Source organism: Homo sapiens, chromosome 8 (genome assembly GCF_000001405.40).
Source record: "Homo sapiens chromosome 8, GRCh38.p14 Primary Assembly".
In the NCBI taxonomy this organism is placed as follows: domain Eukaryota; kingdom Metazoa; phylum Chordata; class Mammalia; order Primates; family Hominidae; genus Homo; species Homo sapiens.
In genome coordinates, this window is record NC_000008.11 from 83129447 (window position 1) to 83144158 (window position 14712).

General features: G+C 36.7%; 1 annotated feature.

Moving 5' to 3' along the window:
* Positions 1594-1643: an enhancer, noted in NCBI's record as "active region_27587". NCBI's record gives its function as "activates an Ori minimal core promoter by ATAC-STARR-seq in GM12878 lymphoblastoid cells {active_cell/tissue: GM12878}" and the evidence as "EXISTENCE:reporter gene assay evidence [ECO:0000049][PMID:35858748]".

Below are 14712 nucleotides of genomic sequence, written 5' to 3' on the forward strand. Positions count from 1 at the left end.
TATGCCACTGTGGTCCAGCCTACCTGAGTGACAAAGCGAGATCCTGTCTTTAAAAAAAAGAAGTTATTCAGGAAAATAATCCCTAAAAGAAACTGATGGGTAAAACCTTGGAGTAGAGAAAAAAAATACATGCATGAAAGAGTAAATGATTTAGTCACGAAAGTTTGATTGAATTAAGACAATAAAAATATTTTGATGGCAGAAATGAATGGCCATTTTAATGGTACTGGTGGATGAGTAAAATAAGGAAGGTGGGTGAAAGAACTGAAGAGATGAAGAGCATTGAATTTGATGTGGACTAGAAAACACTGTAGATAATATGCTAGAAAAGTTGTCAATGAATTTTCCATATTGGAGGAAATTTATGGAAAATAAAGAAAAATTGTATAAGCAACAAGAATAAAAAGGTTTTATAAAATCCCACAGAGAACAAGGGCACATTATTCTTCTGTACATAAAGTTTGTCAAAATTGCTATAGTTTTTTTTAAATGATGTAATCATATATGATTGAAGAAAGGGTGAAATTAAAATTTCTCTGCGTAAAAGTATTTATGTGTTCATTTTTTTTATCTCCTCTATAGATAGAATGTCAAAAATATATAAATGAGTGAAAGAAAAGCCATGTCATTTTACTAACAGCTGGACAAATGACTCTAATGAAACAGAAGAAGAATGTTACATGGGGTAGAATTTACAGGACTCTTTGGCTCTGGGCCTGGAATCTTAACAGTGAAACTCAAACAATTTCATTCTGTTCAATAAAAGCAATTAAATGTCCTACATAAAGTGGACAAATAGAACCAGAAAACCTTTATAAAACTAAGGCATAGAGTAAATATCTCACTTTTATTAAACTGAGGGATAATAAAAGGCTGACATTGACCTGTGTCTAGAAGCTGTGAATTAAGAAGACAAGAGACAGTAGACACATTGCTCTAACTGAAACCTGAGCCAGGCTTCCTGCTAAAGTAAGCAGATAGCTAGGCGTGAACAAGAAAGGGAAATCCAGAGGAAGGAAGCCCTGGAAACCTTGCCCCACTAGTAATTACTGCTCCACTAGCAAAAACAAAAACAAAAACAAACAAACAAAAATAGCCACATGTGGACTTGCAGTTAGGCCTATCTCGCTCTGAGACTTATCTGGCCCCTGAAGGAAATAACTTCAGTAGGAAACTTCCCTAGTAGTAAGCATGAATGCTTTGACTTTGCTTGCCTGATAGGTAACCTTTTGCTTATTAAAATAAAAAACACAGACCCCTGGATGGAGATTAATGAGATATTCAGTCTCAGGGACATATTAATGAGACATGCAACATTTGTACTAGCATGTACAGCCACAGTGAATGCATGCCCAGGAGACCACCTCAAAATGCATACTATTAATAGTAATACCTCTTCACACCCCTTTATGAATATTCATGTAAGACTTCCATAAAGGGGGCTCCCCAGTGCCAGTCAACTCTGTTTCATTCTGTAGCAGCTTTCTCTCATCCAGCTTTCAGAGCATACTTCCACTTTCACTGTCAGGTCTGTCTCAATCTCGAGTAGCTGCTCTGACTTTGCTTTCGGGGTGTCTTTCACTTTAGATAAACTTCGCTATGGCCTAACTCTCTTTGTGTGTCTCTTGGCTGAATTCTTTCCTCCAAAAAAGCAAGAAACAAGGACTCTCCACTTCCTGGTTACATTCCCACTGGCATTTGGTCATTCTTCATTTCTCTCTCTCTTTTTCTTTCTCTATTCTTTTCCTAAATTTGATATAGTAACAAGGTACAGAAACTCTCAACTACCATTATAATACCTATTTGAGTACTGTGTTTTACAGAAGGATAGATAGAATCCAGAAGAGATCCTTCTTTTTTAAATTTAACAGAAACTGAAATAGGTAAAGAGGCACAAAAAAAAAAAAAAAAGGTGTGGGGCAAGAATGAGAAATGTGTCTGTGAAAGAGAGAGAAAACAGTATGAAAGTAGTGTTCATGGGAGCCAACTTCCATTTGACAGCGTGAGAAGCTCTGTTGACCAACTTCCCAGTGAAACTGATATAAATTCCAGAAAAACAATGACTGAGAGCCCCTGGAAAACATTCTAAAGGTAAACAGCAAACAAGGAAACATCTATTCAAGAAATTCTGTGAAAATGTGTTAAGAAAGAAGGCAGTTTGTGGGATTTGAACAAAGAATAATTGTTTTTTCATTACCTCCCAGAGACTCCACTCCAGACTGCTATAGCCAAGAACACTGGATCCCCATCTTTTCACCTATCATTTGGAGGGCTATCTTCCCAAGAAGAACAGGACATCAGTATTTTTCACTATACTCTCAGCTACCTATTGCCAAGGTTAAGTCCTGGGCGAATACAACTGAGAAATGGAGCTCTATTTTCCTGCCTACCCCTCACTGAAGCAATGAAGGGTTTATCTTGGGCATGGTACCACAAAGAATACTGGGGCCCTGATTACCCTTGCCCCATGGGGTTCATGAGGCAGTGCTTCCCTGCTGTGGGAGGCAAGCTGAAAGTCTTCCCACCTACCACTGAGCAATTAGCTCCTTCAGTGGGAGTGTCACCCAACCAGAAATTTGTTTTTATTCTAACCTCAAGCTCCATAGCCTTAGGGAGATGTGGGGAAGTAGGCCATGCAGCAGATAGCTCCTAATCTCTTTCCAAAGGAATATCTTTTGCAATAGAGCTTGGTGAAGTTGAAGCCTAAGTAGAGGTTGTGGTGATGAAATGTATTTGGGAGAGCCTATTTCTTAAGATATAGGCTAAACTCTAGGCTAGCTAGTATGAATGAGAGTCCCTGGTAATAAGACAATTAGGGGAAGCCTTCCTGAGGTCAGAAAAAATGTCAAATACTGACCACAGAAAACATTCCATTAAGAATACCACAATTTGTTTGGGTTCCTTTGTAGAACTATTTATGCCCTGAAGCATTTTTCAGACATTTTACCAATCGCCTGGCAATTAGTGGGGTGATAAGGTTTGGCTCTGTGTCCACAACCAAATCTCATGTTAAATTGTAATCTTCAGTGTTGAGAGAGGGACCAGGTGGGAGGTGATTAGGTCATGGGGGTGTTCTCATGATAGTGTGTCATTTCTCACAAGAGCTGTTCTCATGAGTGTGTCAGTTCTCACAAGATCTGGTTGATTGAAAGTGTATGGCACTTCTGCCTTCACTCTGCCTCTCTCTCCTGCTGCCATGTGAAGGTGTGCTCACTTCCCATTCTTCCTCCTTCTGCCATGATTGTAAGTTTTTTGAGACCTCTACAGCCATGGCTTCTGTACAGCCTGTGGAACTGCAAGTCAACTAAACATCTTTTCTTTATAAATTACCCAATATCAGGTAGTTGTTTATGGCACTGTGAGAACAAAGTAACACATGGGGTTAAATACCAGGTTTAGATAGGCCAGGAAAAGAGAGGAAGAGAGCCCTACTGAAATAGCTATCCTCTCAGGATGACTGAGCATACCCAAAACTGTGACTCCTTGAGGAGCAACATCAGAGGATTGACACCCTGGAAGGGGGAAAAAAACATGAAAATACTGCAGTGAACCAATAAGATAGTAAATAATAAAATAACACTGATGAGATGTAGAGAAATGGGAGACCACTAACCAGAGTTGCTAAACTATACAATCTAAATGTTCACTTTCCAAGAAAAAATTATGTGGCATGCAAAGAAACAGGAAAATATAACAGGCAACAAAAACTAGCTGTGGGAGCCACTAGATGTCAGATTTATAAGAAAAAGATTTTCTGAGGTTGGGATTTTGAGACCAGCCTGACCAACCCCGTCTCTACTAAAAATGTAAAAATTAGCCAGGCATGGTGGTGCATGCCTGTAATCCCAGCTACTCAGGAGGCTGAAGAAGGAGAATTGCTTGAACTGAGGAGGCAGAGGTTGGGGTGAGCCGAGATCATGCCATTGCACTCCAGCCTGAGCAACAAGAGCTAAACTCTGTCTCAAAAAAAAAAAAAAAAAAAAAAAAGATAAAGATTCCAAAATGGCCATTATAAACAGATTCACAGAACTAAAACAAAAGACTAAAGACATAAATAAAAATATGATGACAATATAATAACAGAGATATCAATAAAGTGATAGAAATTATAAAAAAAGAAATAAATAAAAATATGGTAACGTAATATCAGAGAGAGAATATCACAAGGTGATAAAATTGTAATACAAGAAAATTGTGGATTTGAAAAATATAATAATATATATATAATAACTAAAAACAAAACAAAAAATAACCACTAGGTGGCTCACAAGTAGATTTGACCTGACAGAAGAAGAAAGAGTAAACAAACTAGAAGATAGATTGATAGCATGCAAGCCAAAGAACAGAGAGATAAAAGAGTGAAGATAAATGAAGAGAGTCTCATGAAAATTTGGGACACCACAAAGCATACAGACATACTTTTAATTATGAAAAAAAGAGAAGAGAGAGAGATGGAGCAATATCCCCTCTCAGGGGCCGGTGAGACCCCCTAAGCATGGAAATAAATGAAAATCTTGAATTTCTTTAAGGAAAATTCCAGATACCTAGCTATCCTGGAAAACTAAGTGAGCAACTTGATAAGCAAGAAGGTTAAATCAACAGTCACCCAAATAAGCTAAAACCACAAGATGTTTGGTTACCTACAGAAACTAAAGATAACATATTGATTTAGTTCCCTGAATTGTTTTTCAGAACTCTGGACCCTGCCACTGAATGGATCCACTGGCGTGTAGATCTCAGAAAAAGGGGAACTGAGGGCTGAAATCTCGCTGCCATTCTTTGTTCTGTATTCCTTTCTGACGGGCCTGGAAGAAGTCTTGACTATGGGCTAGACATTCCATTCTGCTGACCCCAAGTTTGTATACAAAGCTTTGCTTCCTTAATCAGTTATAAACCAGAGAATCTTTAAATTCATCTATGACTCATAAGCCCCCTGATTTAAGATATGACACATTTTTAGGCCAAACCAATGTATAACCTTCCTGTATTGATTTACAATTTTGCTTGTAACTTCTGCTTTCCTGAAATGTACCCTGCCTTTAAAAATCCTTGCTTGTAAGCCATCTGGGAGGCTGAGTATTTAGCCTATGCTGCCTGCTTCTTCTTGCTTAGTGCCCTGTAAATAAACACTTTTCTTTCTCCCACTATAAAACCTCAGTATGGATGTTTGGCTTTACTGCATGAGGCAAGCAGACTCCAGTGCATTTTGGTAGCAAGAGAAAGAAGAGAAAAATGTTTGAATAAAATCACAGCTAAAATCATGCCCAAATTTATTACAAAATATTGTACATATCCAGGAAGCTCAACAAACTCCAAAGAGAATAAGCTCAAAGAGATTCACAAAAATGAAAGGCAAATATATTTCCCAGATAAACACAAACTGAAAATCTGTTACAAGCTAATTTGCCTTACAAAAATACTATGGAAAGTTCTTCAGACTGAAAACAATCGGAACCAGACAGGATATGATTCAAATCTGTAAATAATTACAAAAGACAGCATGATTGCATGTTTATTCACCTCTGCTTCTTTGACTAATTTGAAAAGCAATCGCATAAAGTAATGTGTGTAAAGTTGAATAGTCTTACAAAGTATTGACAGAATAATGCCCCCTCAACCAAGATGTTCACATCTTGATCCCTGGAACATTTGAATACATGCTACTTTATACTCAGAGTGTATCATAAGAAAAATGGCATAAAGATATTATCCTAAATCAGTGGAAAAATTATGAATTAGTCTATGGGTGGCATTCATATAATTGGCTATACATATGCACAATTATATTAGAGTTTTACTCCATCAACAAAAATACATATAAGTAATTTCTAAAGTTCTTCATGTATTTCTAACCTATAACTCCTTTATTTACATTTCTCCCTACTCTCGCAGATTTCTAAGAGGCTAGATACCTATCCAAAATTAATCACAGAGAAGACAAAATTTGATAGTAAACCAAATTTTTGAGACCCTTAGCTACTTCCTCACTTATATTTACTCATTATCCAGGTAGAGAAAAGCAGCTGAAATGGGGGAATGTTGTCTAAAATATTTTGGGAACGTATTTGGTTAATGCCATCATTTAGATAATTTCCTATGATGGAAAAACTTGTACACGACTTTGATTTTGTATTCCTATCAGACTTGGGGTTCATGCAATAAACAGGCTGTAATTCAAAATTAAGGGGTATGGTGGATCACAGAAGTATGCCAAAAATTATGCACAATCTGGATAAATGGGTTCAATCTAACTAGATGTAATTTATCATGGACACATGTTACATTCTGCTCTTAAGGATTAATAATTTACATGCAGAAAAGCCATATGAGAAGATTATAAAATATAAAGCTTTTTAGTTGAACTTATAATTGTATGTGAGTCAATGATAGGATCCAAGTGATTAAAAAGTTAATACAATCCTAAATTGCATTAAAAGGCGGTGTATAGTCCAGAGGGAGTGAATCTTTAGGTTTATTCTACTGTTCTCTGTAAAGGGCATTCCTAAGTACAATGGCTGGAGAATTACCTTTATTCTTATGAGGCAAATTTTTAAGGAAAAATAATATTTGAGTAAGCAGCATGTTTAGAGATGAAAGTCATTGACTCAAAATATTTACCACCATGTTCCAAGTATAATGCTAGGCAATGTACCATGGAAGGAAGGAATTAAAGGAAGTAAGTGTTGTATATTTTGTTATTAGTCTCAATTATATTTTTGCCTCTCCTTGTAAAAAGATTATATTTTCTTTTCCATTTTCTTCATGATTGGTCACTTGGCTCTGGAAGTGACCTACGCAAATGCCAAGTGCCACCTCTGAGTAGAAGCTTTAAAATCCATTATGCGATTCCATCATTTTTTTTCCTTTTCTTCAGCGATATTGTCCCTAAGAACCTGCTCTTTCAATGACGAACACCTGTACATCAGAGCCATTGCCACCCTGCAGCCAAGCTAACAGATATCACATGACAGGAATAAATCTTCGTAGTTTCAAAACACGGAGATTTCAGAGCTGTTTATTATGGCAACATATCTAGTAAAAGTTCACTAAGGTTTTAAGGTTGCTTTACTAGAAAACAGGATATTTAGGGGGATTGTTTTCACCAATTATCTGAATGAGTGTCAAATGCAGAAATTATTAGACTTCATTTTAAGGTTTTAGCAAATGTCCTAGGTAAGGGGTAATAGGATAGGTTAATATATGCACCAATAACAAAGAGGCTTAAAATCTCAGTAGCTTAACCCAAGCAAAAATTATATATTGCTCATGATATTTGTCTGTGCATGTCTATGAAGGGGCTGCTCCATGTGGTCATTCAGAAACTACTACTGATGAATGTTCCTTCATCATTCTGTAGATGTATCGTTTACAAAAAGTGACATCTTCGTCCTTAGAACAAGGAAAAAGGAAGTGGAAGGGCATGCATGAGCTCTTCTATGCATTGGCCTAAAAGGCCACGTCTTACTTCTTCCCACAGCTTATTAGCCAGAGTAATCACGTGACCAGATCAAACTGATATATATGCAGTTGTCCGTTGGTATCCATAGGGGATTGATTCCAGGCCTCTACTAAAGTCCACAGATGTGCTCAAGTCTCTGATATAAAATGGCATAGTAGCCTACCCACATTTTCCTGTTTAAATTATGTTGAGGTGACTTATATCAATACAATGTAAATTCTATATAAATAGTTCTACTGTATTGCTTGGGAAATAATGACAAGGGAAAAATGTCTGTCCATTTTAAATACAGATGCAATTAAAAAATATTTTCAATCCACTGTTTGTTGAATCCACAGATGTGGATGCCATGGATATGGATGGCCAACTATATATGAACTTTATCATAAATATAGATGACATTGAAGTAGAAAAACGTATCTTGTTAATATAAATTCTCATGAAAGAAAATAGTTTATGACCATCAATGAGATATGTAATAGAAGAAATTTATGGGTACAAATCCCTTTTAGATTTGAGGTTTTATGACCCTAAATTTGAGGATTTCATAAGTTTAAATGCGATCATCACAATATAAGCAAGCTGAATTGAGTTTTAAGTGAATAGTAAAATAGGTAACAAAAAAGTTTCACAACATATTGTATAATTATAATTATACTTCATCTCACTTTATAGAATTATTAAGAAGATTTCTCTTACTCTCTAAATTTTTCTTTTATATGCAAACATTTTTTCTAGTTTCCTATTGCCACACAGCTTCCATATTACAAACAAAAGCTTTCTAATTGTCATATTTTCTAAGAAGATAGTTTTAGAACCAAACAACCTAAAGATGCTTTTGTGATGAAAATCCTGTTTTTTTTTGTGGGGATCTCAAATGCAATTAACTGAGAAATTGGCCTTATTATATATAAGTTGAGATTTGTTTATCCAACCAGAAACACTGAAATAACTCACCAATCTTGACACATAGCCAATCTAGAATTAGAAGTCCTCCATGTAATCATTGTGTCTGGCATAAAGACTAAATATTTTGAGGAGGACATATGTTTTTTATAGAGGCTAAGGGATTTAAACTAGCTAAATATGTCAGGTGAATATTTAGTGAAGTTGGTACTCTTCTGCTATTAACTGAAGGGTCATTCAGTTATTTATCTGACACCAGAATATATTGATATCCTTAGGTTGGAGTAGGAAACTATTTATCTGCAAGGTCAGTAAGACTTATTTTAAAATACTTATAATACTCCATTCTTCATGAGTATGCATATCTGTGTAATAAAAAGAAACATTTTAAACTTTAAATTAAAAAGTTTACATATCAAATTTTAATTAACCTACAATGTTTAAATAGAAATGCTTATAATAAGGGAGTGACAAAGTCAATGTGACATGATAAATTGTAAAAAATAATTTTGGAAAGTTTATGCTAATTGATGTTTCCCATCATATTGAAGGTGCCACGCCATGTAAAAATTAAAGTCATTGCAAAATATTTTTTAAATCTTCTCCTAATATTTAGTGAGAGCTTATTTTGTAAAATCCTAAATAATAAGACTGGATTTAAAGAACCAAATTGAACTGGAAAGTAAAGTCATTACATGTTGAAATATAAATTATCTGCAATCAAGTTTGCTAAAATTGTCTTATTTAGTGGTCAGTAAAGTACCCTTATTAGAAAGGATTCTAAACTCTATGCCTGTAACATTATGATGTTAAGAAACACCTTAAAGATTTAACTACTTCCTCATTTCCCAGAGCTTAAAGATTTGTAATGATGGCATTAGTAAGAATGTTTTTTCCATTATGAATCACATGGTTTATCAACAAAGACCCTCACTGATTAATATTTAAAGAGAAAACTGTTTTTATAAAGAAACAGTCATACTCTCTGTATTATAGTATTTGTAACATAAATCATTACATGGTTGAGTAGTGTTCTGAGAATCAGTGTTTGACGGTAATTTATGAGCTTTCAACAATAGGCTTTCTATGGTCAAAAGTAAAAAAATCAATCAATCAATCTGATTTTGGCTAACAGTTAACATTTTATTCTTTAGATATGACAGAAGAGCTTTATTTTTCATGGCATTTATCTTCAGACATTTAATATCTGAAAATTTCCTGAAGCCATATAGTTAAAGAAAAAATATATAGACATTTATTTATTTGTTCTTACATTTATTTATTTATTAAGCATCTAAATTGGCTGGTTGGTATACTAAACCTGAAAGAGAAAGGCAATAACAATGACTAACAAGAGCAAAAAGTCCTGAAAAGGTTTTAAGCAAAGGAAATGAATCAATAATGCTAAATTCATGACAATTAGTTTTGAAAAATTTTCTTTTTTTACAAAATACCCAAACTTTCAATATATATTTAAGCTATTTCACACTAATAATTATGATGGCAGACAGTGACAGTTTTATCTTATTGAAATATAAAATAGTGTAAAAGAAAATAAGAGATATCCAAAGAAAGAATTTTCTTACTACATCACAATACTGAGAATAATACTAGTTTTATTTTTAGACAATACACAAAAATGTATTGAGTTAAATCTATGTTGAATTTAGATACTGTTCTAAAATATTTTTTAATGTACTTCTGTGTCCAGAATTGGTTCCTTCCAGTGGGTTCTTGGTCTCACTGACTTCAAGAATGAAGCCGCAGACCCTCGCGGTGAGTGTTACAGTTCTTCAAGATGGTGTGTCTGGAGTTTGTTCCTTCAGATGTTCAGATGTGTCCGGAGTTTCTTTCTTCTGGTGGGTTCATGCTGACTTGAGGAGTGAAGCCACAGACCTTCACAAGGAGTGTTACAGTTCTTAAAGGTGGCACGTCCGGAGTTGTTCGTTCCTTCTAGTGGGTTTGTGGTCTTGCTGACTTCAGGAGTGAAGCCGCAGACTTTGCAGTGAGTGTTTCAGCCCTTAAAGGTGGTGCGCCCAGAGTTGTTTGTTCCTCCTGGTGGGTTCGTGGTCTCGCTGGCTTCAGGAGTGAAGCTGCAGACCTTCCTGGTGAGTGTTACAGCTCATAAAGGTAGTGCAGACCCAAAGAGTGAGCAGCAGCAAGATTTATTACAAAGCGCGAAAGAACAAAGCTTCCACAGTGTGGAAGGGGACCCCAGTGGGTTGCCATGCTTGCTTGGGTGGCCAGCTTTTATTCCCTTATTTGGCCCTGCCCACACCCTGCTGATTGATCCATTTTACAGCACGCTGATTCGTCCGTTTTTAGAGAGTGCTGATTGGTGCGTTTACAAACCTTTAGCTAGACATAGAGCGCTGATTGGTGTGTTAACAATCCTTTAGCTAGACAGAAAAGTTCTCCAAGTCCCCACCAGACCCAGAAGCCCAACCAGCTTCACCTCTCACTTCCAGGAAATATTATTATAATAATTAGGTTTCTTATGCTGTTGTAGGAAAAGCATAAAAATCCATAACTAAGGAGTAATGAAAATACCTTTAAAAATTCCTGGAACACTGCTTAGTTTTTGCAAAATGATTTCTAGTCCAAATATGCATGCATTGTCTGGAAGCATAAGTGACAGGCTTGAGTGAATACATATCCTTCCATGCAAGGTACAAAGCGGACACGATTTTCAGTGGAAGGGAGTAAAAACAGCTGGATAGTTGGATCATAGATATAAAAGCAAAAATTGAATCAGATAAAGATAAACAGGCAAAGAAGATTTTATTCAAGGCAATTGCAGTAGAGGAGAGGGACCGTAACACAGTCTGACCTCAACTCTGATGAAACAAAGGACAGTTGAGGGAGAGAACTCTGGGCTGAGAGGGAGATCAGGGGGCATCTATTTTTGCAAATTGACTTTACCCATATGAAAAGTAAACTGTTTCTGTTGTTCTCACAAAAAACAGTTTTACAACTCGGAGCAAGTTGTTTCCTCCCCTCCCACAGAGACTATGGAAATGGGAACACTGACTTCCTTGATGATTACATTTCAAATAGATAGCACCCAGGTACTTGAGAAAGGCATCCCGGGCTCTGGGTTGTAAAACTGGCAAAAGGTTTTTAAAAAGATTTATATTCTATTTCGGCCGGGCATGGTGACTCATGCCTGTAATCCCAGCACTTAGGGAGGCCGAGGCAGGCAGATCACGAGGTCAAGAAATCGAGACCATCCTGGCCAACATGGTGAAACCCCGTCTCTACTAAAAATAATAAAAAATTAGCTGGGTGTGGTGGTGCGTGCCTGTAGTCCCAGCTACTCAGGAGGCTGAGGCAGGAGAATCACTTGAACCTGGTAGGCGGAGGTTGCAGTGAGCCAAGATCATGCCACTGCACTCCAGTCTGGGCAACAGAGCAAGACCCCATCAAAAAAAAATCTATATTGTATTTCAAAGGTATAGAAAAGTCATTTACAAGATTTCTAAGTTAAATGCTCTAAAAAAAGAAAGGTCAGGGGCCTAGAATCAGAAAGAAGCCTGTTTAAAGGTTAGTCACCCTGAGGGTGAACAAGAGGCCCTCTTGGTCATAGGACAAATTAAAATCTGAGTAATCTCAAAATTGAGTCTCAATAATCAGTATTATTGAGTTTCAATAAATCAATTTTGTCCAGTGTCCAAGCTCCACCCCCAGAGTTGAGTCCCACTTCTTACCTCACTGGGGCCTGGTAAAGCCCATAAATGGATATCTAAAGCCAAATAAGGGATATCTGAGAAAGATATCAAAGAACTAAACACTCGATCTTCTAAGGATAGAGCAAAAAGGGCTAAAAAAAATAGCAAATAACCTTTTAGGATCCATCCCTAAAGTGTTTCCTCACAATAACTGGTATATTATTCAATCTTTTAAACAGAAAAAGAATTAACCAGTCTTTGAGCATAAGGCAAGATTAGAAGTATCCACATTTAGTCCAGGCATGTAAAACGCTTGCCCTATACTTCAGGAGGCTCCACTCTATGTTTAGGATTCTAGTTGTAAAGCACAAGCTGACTTGAGAACTCACAATCTAGCTGAATTCATCTTCAAAATATGCCTCTCTGGCATAAGGACTGTTTTCTTCTGGTTATTTCAAAACCCTTTTGTAAGTGAAATTTACATCTATAAAGGAAATCTCAATTTGTAAGTATGTGTCCCTCTCTGCACCAGATAGAAAAGGCAGACTAAATCACTAGAGAATGGAGAAAGCGTTGACTTAAATCTACATCGCAAACTTTACCTGTGTTTAACCCATTTATGCCTGAGGTTGCAATTTTTTGATTTTTGCAATTAGACCTTGGTGATGACCTCAGGCAGTAGGATATAAATCACTCCCACACGCTTAGCATTCCAAATAATGGAACACTAGTTAAGGTGCTTTTCTGGCCATCTTGCCTTAATTGAGAATTTACCTATATCCTTCTTTCTATTCTTTCAGCAAATGATAGTATTTAGGCCTGAAGTCTAATCTCAGTGCCTTCGAAATGTAAGTTTTTCACCCTTTCTACTGAAGTACCTTGTAGCCATTCCTTTAAAAATACAAATTTATGAGAGATCAATCATCAGAGAAAAACAAAAAAAATTATTTGGAAATTGGACAAAACATATATGTGTCAACATCATACATTCATATGTATATTAAGCTAATTAAAGTAAGAACCTCCCATCAATCCAATCTCCAGAAAGTTAGAAGGAAGGAGGTCAGGAATGCAACAATTCTCACCACTGATTGCTCCTCAGAATTATTCATACTATTAAAAAGAAATAATAGATTCCTGCTTCTGGCTAAGATAAATCAATAGGAACTGAATATAACCTCCTACTTGAAACAATCGAAACACAAAATATTGATGTTCCTTTATTTATAATGGGATTATGTTCTGATAAAACCATAATAGGTTGAAAATATCTGTCAAAAATGCATTTAATATACTTGTCCTGCCAAACATCATAGTTTAGCCTAGCCTACCTCAAACATGCTCAGAACACTGAGCCTACATTTGGGCAAAATCATCTTGCAGCACAGTACACCATAGAGTGTTGGTTGTTTATGGCCATGATTGTGTGGCTGACTGGGAATTGTGGGCCAGTGACCTTGCCCAACATAGTGAGAGAGTATCTTACCTCATATCATTAATCTGAGGAAAGGTTAATATTTAAAATTTGAAATATGGTCTCTACTGAATGCGTGTCACTTTAGCACTATTGTAAAGTCAAAAAATTGGAAATTGAACCATCATAAGTTGGGGACTGCCTGTATATGAAACAGTGGTTTTCAAGACATTGATTTAAGTCAGTGAAAGTCAGCGATTTCTGAAACAAGGAAAACAAATGAGGAAATCCTTATGATTGTCACAGCTAACTGTCTTGAGAGTTTCTAGACCATGAAACCGGGAGGCAAAACTAGGTTGGGCTTGGAAGACTCCCTGAGTTGAGGAAACAGAGCAGAAATATGGGAAGACCAAATTGCCTAGAGTTCACAGAATGTATCATGGGTTAGGAGAGAATTAAACAGAGAGAAATCTAAACTCTGCAAAGCCCCCCATTACTTAGCTGATTACTGATCCTGTGAGGAAACTATAGGAGGCTGCGTAAACCTATCTGGAAGTATGCTCAGTGCTCACATAGGGTTAGAAAAAGTGTCTATTGCTAATAGCCAGACTGGAAAATTTCATGATTCAAAGGGCATTCCTAGAGCATGCAGGAAGGAAATAATGAGCCACAGGCTGAGCATTGCTCTAGTCATGCCTCCATCCCTTGACCTCCCGCAACCCAAGCCCAACAAATCTTCAAAGCCAGACACAAAAGGATAAAAAGGCCTACAAGTAACTTAAAAGCATCACCCCAAAAAGCTCAAGTCTTTTTATAGTAATAAAATAAAACTAATGCTAGGAAAGGTAAAATCACAAAGTCTGGAATTCAGTAAAAAATAACTAGGCATACAATGACACAGGAAAATGAGACACCTAATGGAGAAAAATATAAATCAAAACTAACTCAAAATTGACACAGAATTTAGAATTTAGAACAGACAAGACCATAAAAATAATTGTTTTAACAGTATTATTATTTTTTTTTTTGAGATGGAGTCTTACCCTGTTGCCCAGGTTTGAGGGCAGTGGCACAACCTGGGCTCACTGCAACCTCCACCTCCCGAGTTCAAGCATTCCTCCCACCTCAGCCTCCCTAGTAGCTGGAATTACAGGGGCCCGCCACCGTGCCCGCCACCATGCCCTGCTAATTTTTGTATTTTTAGTAGAGAAGGGGTTTCACCTTGTTGGTCAGGCTGGTCTCGAACTCCTGACCTCAAGTGATCT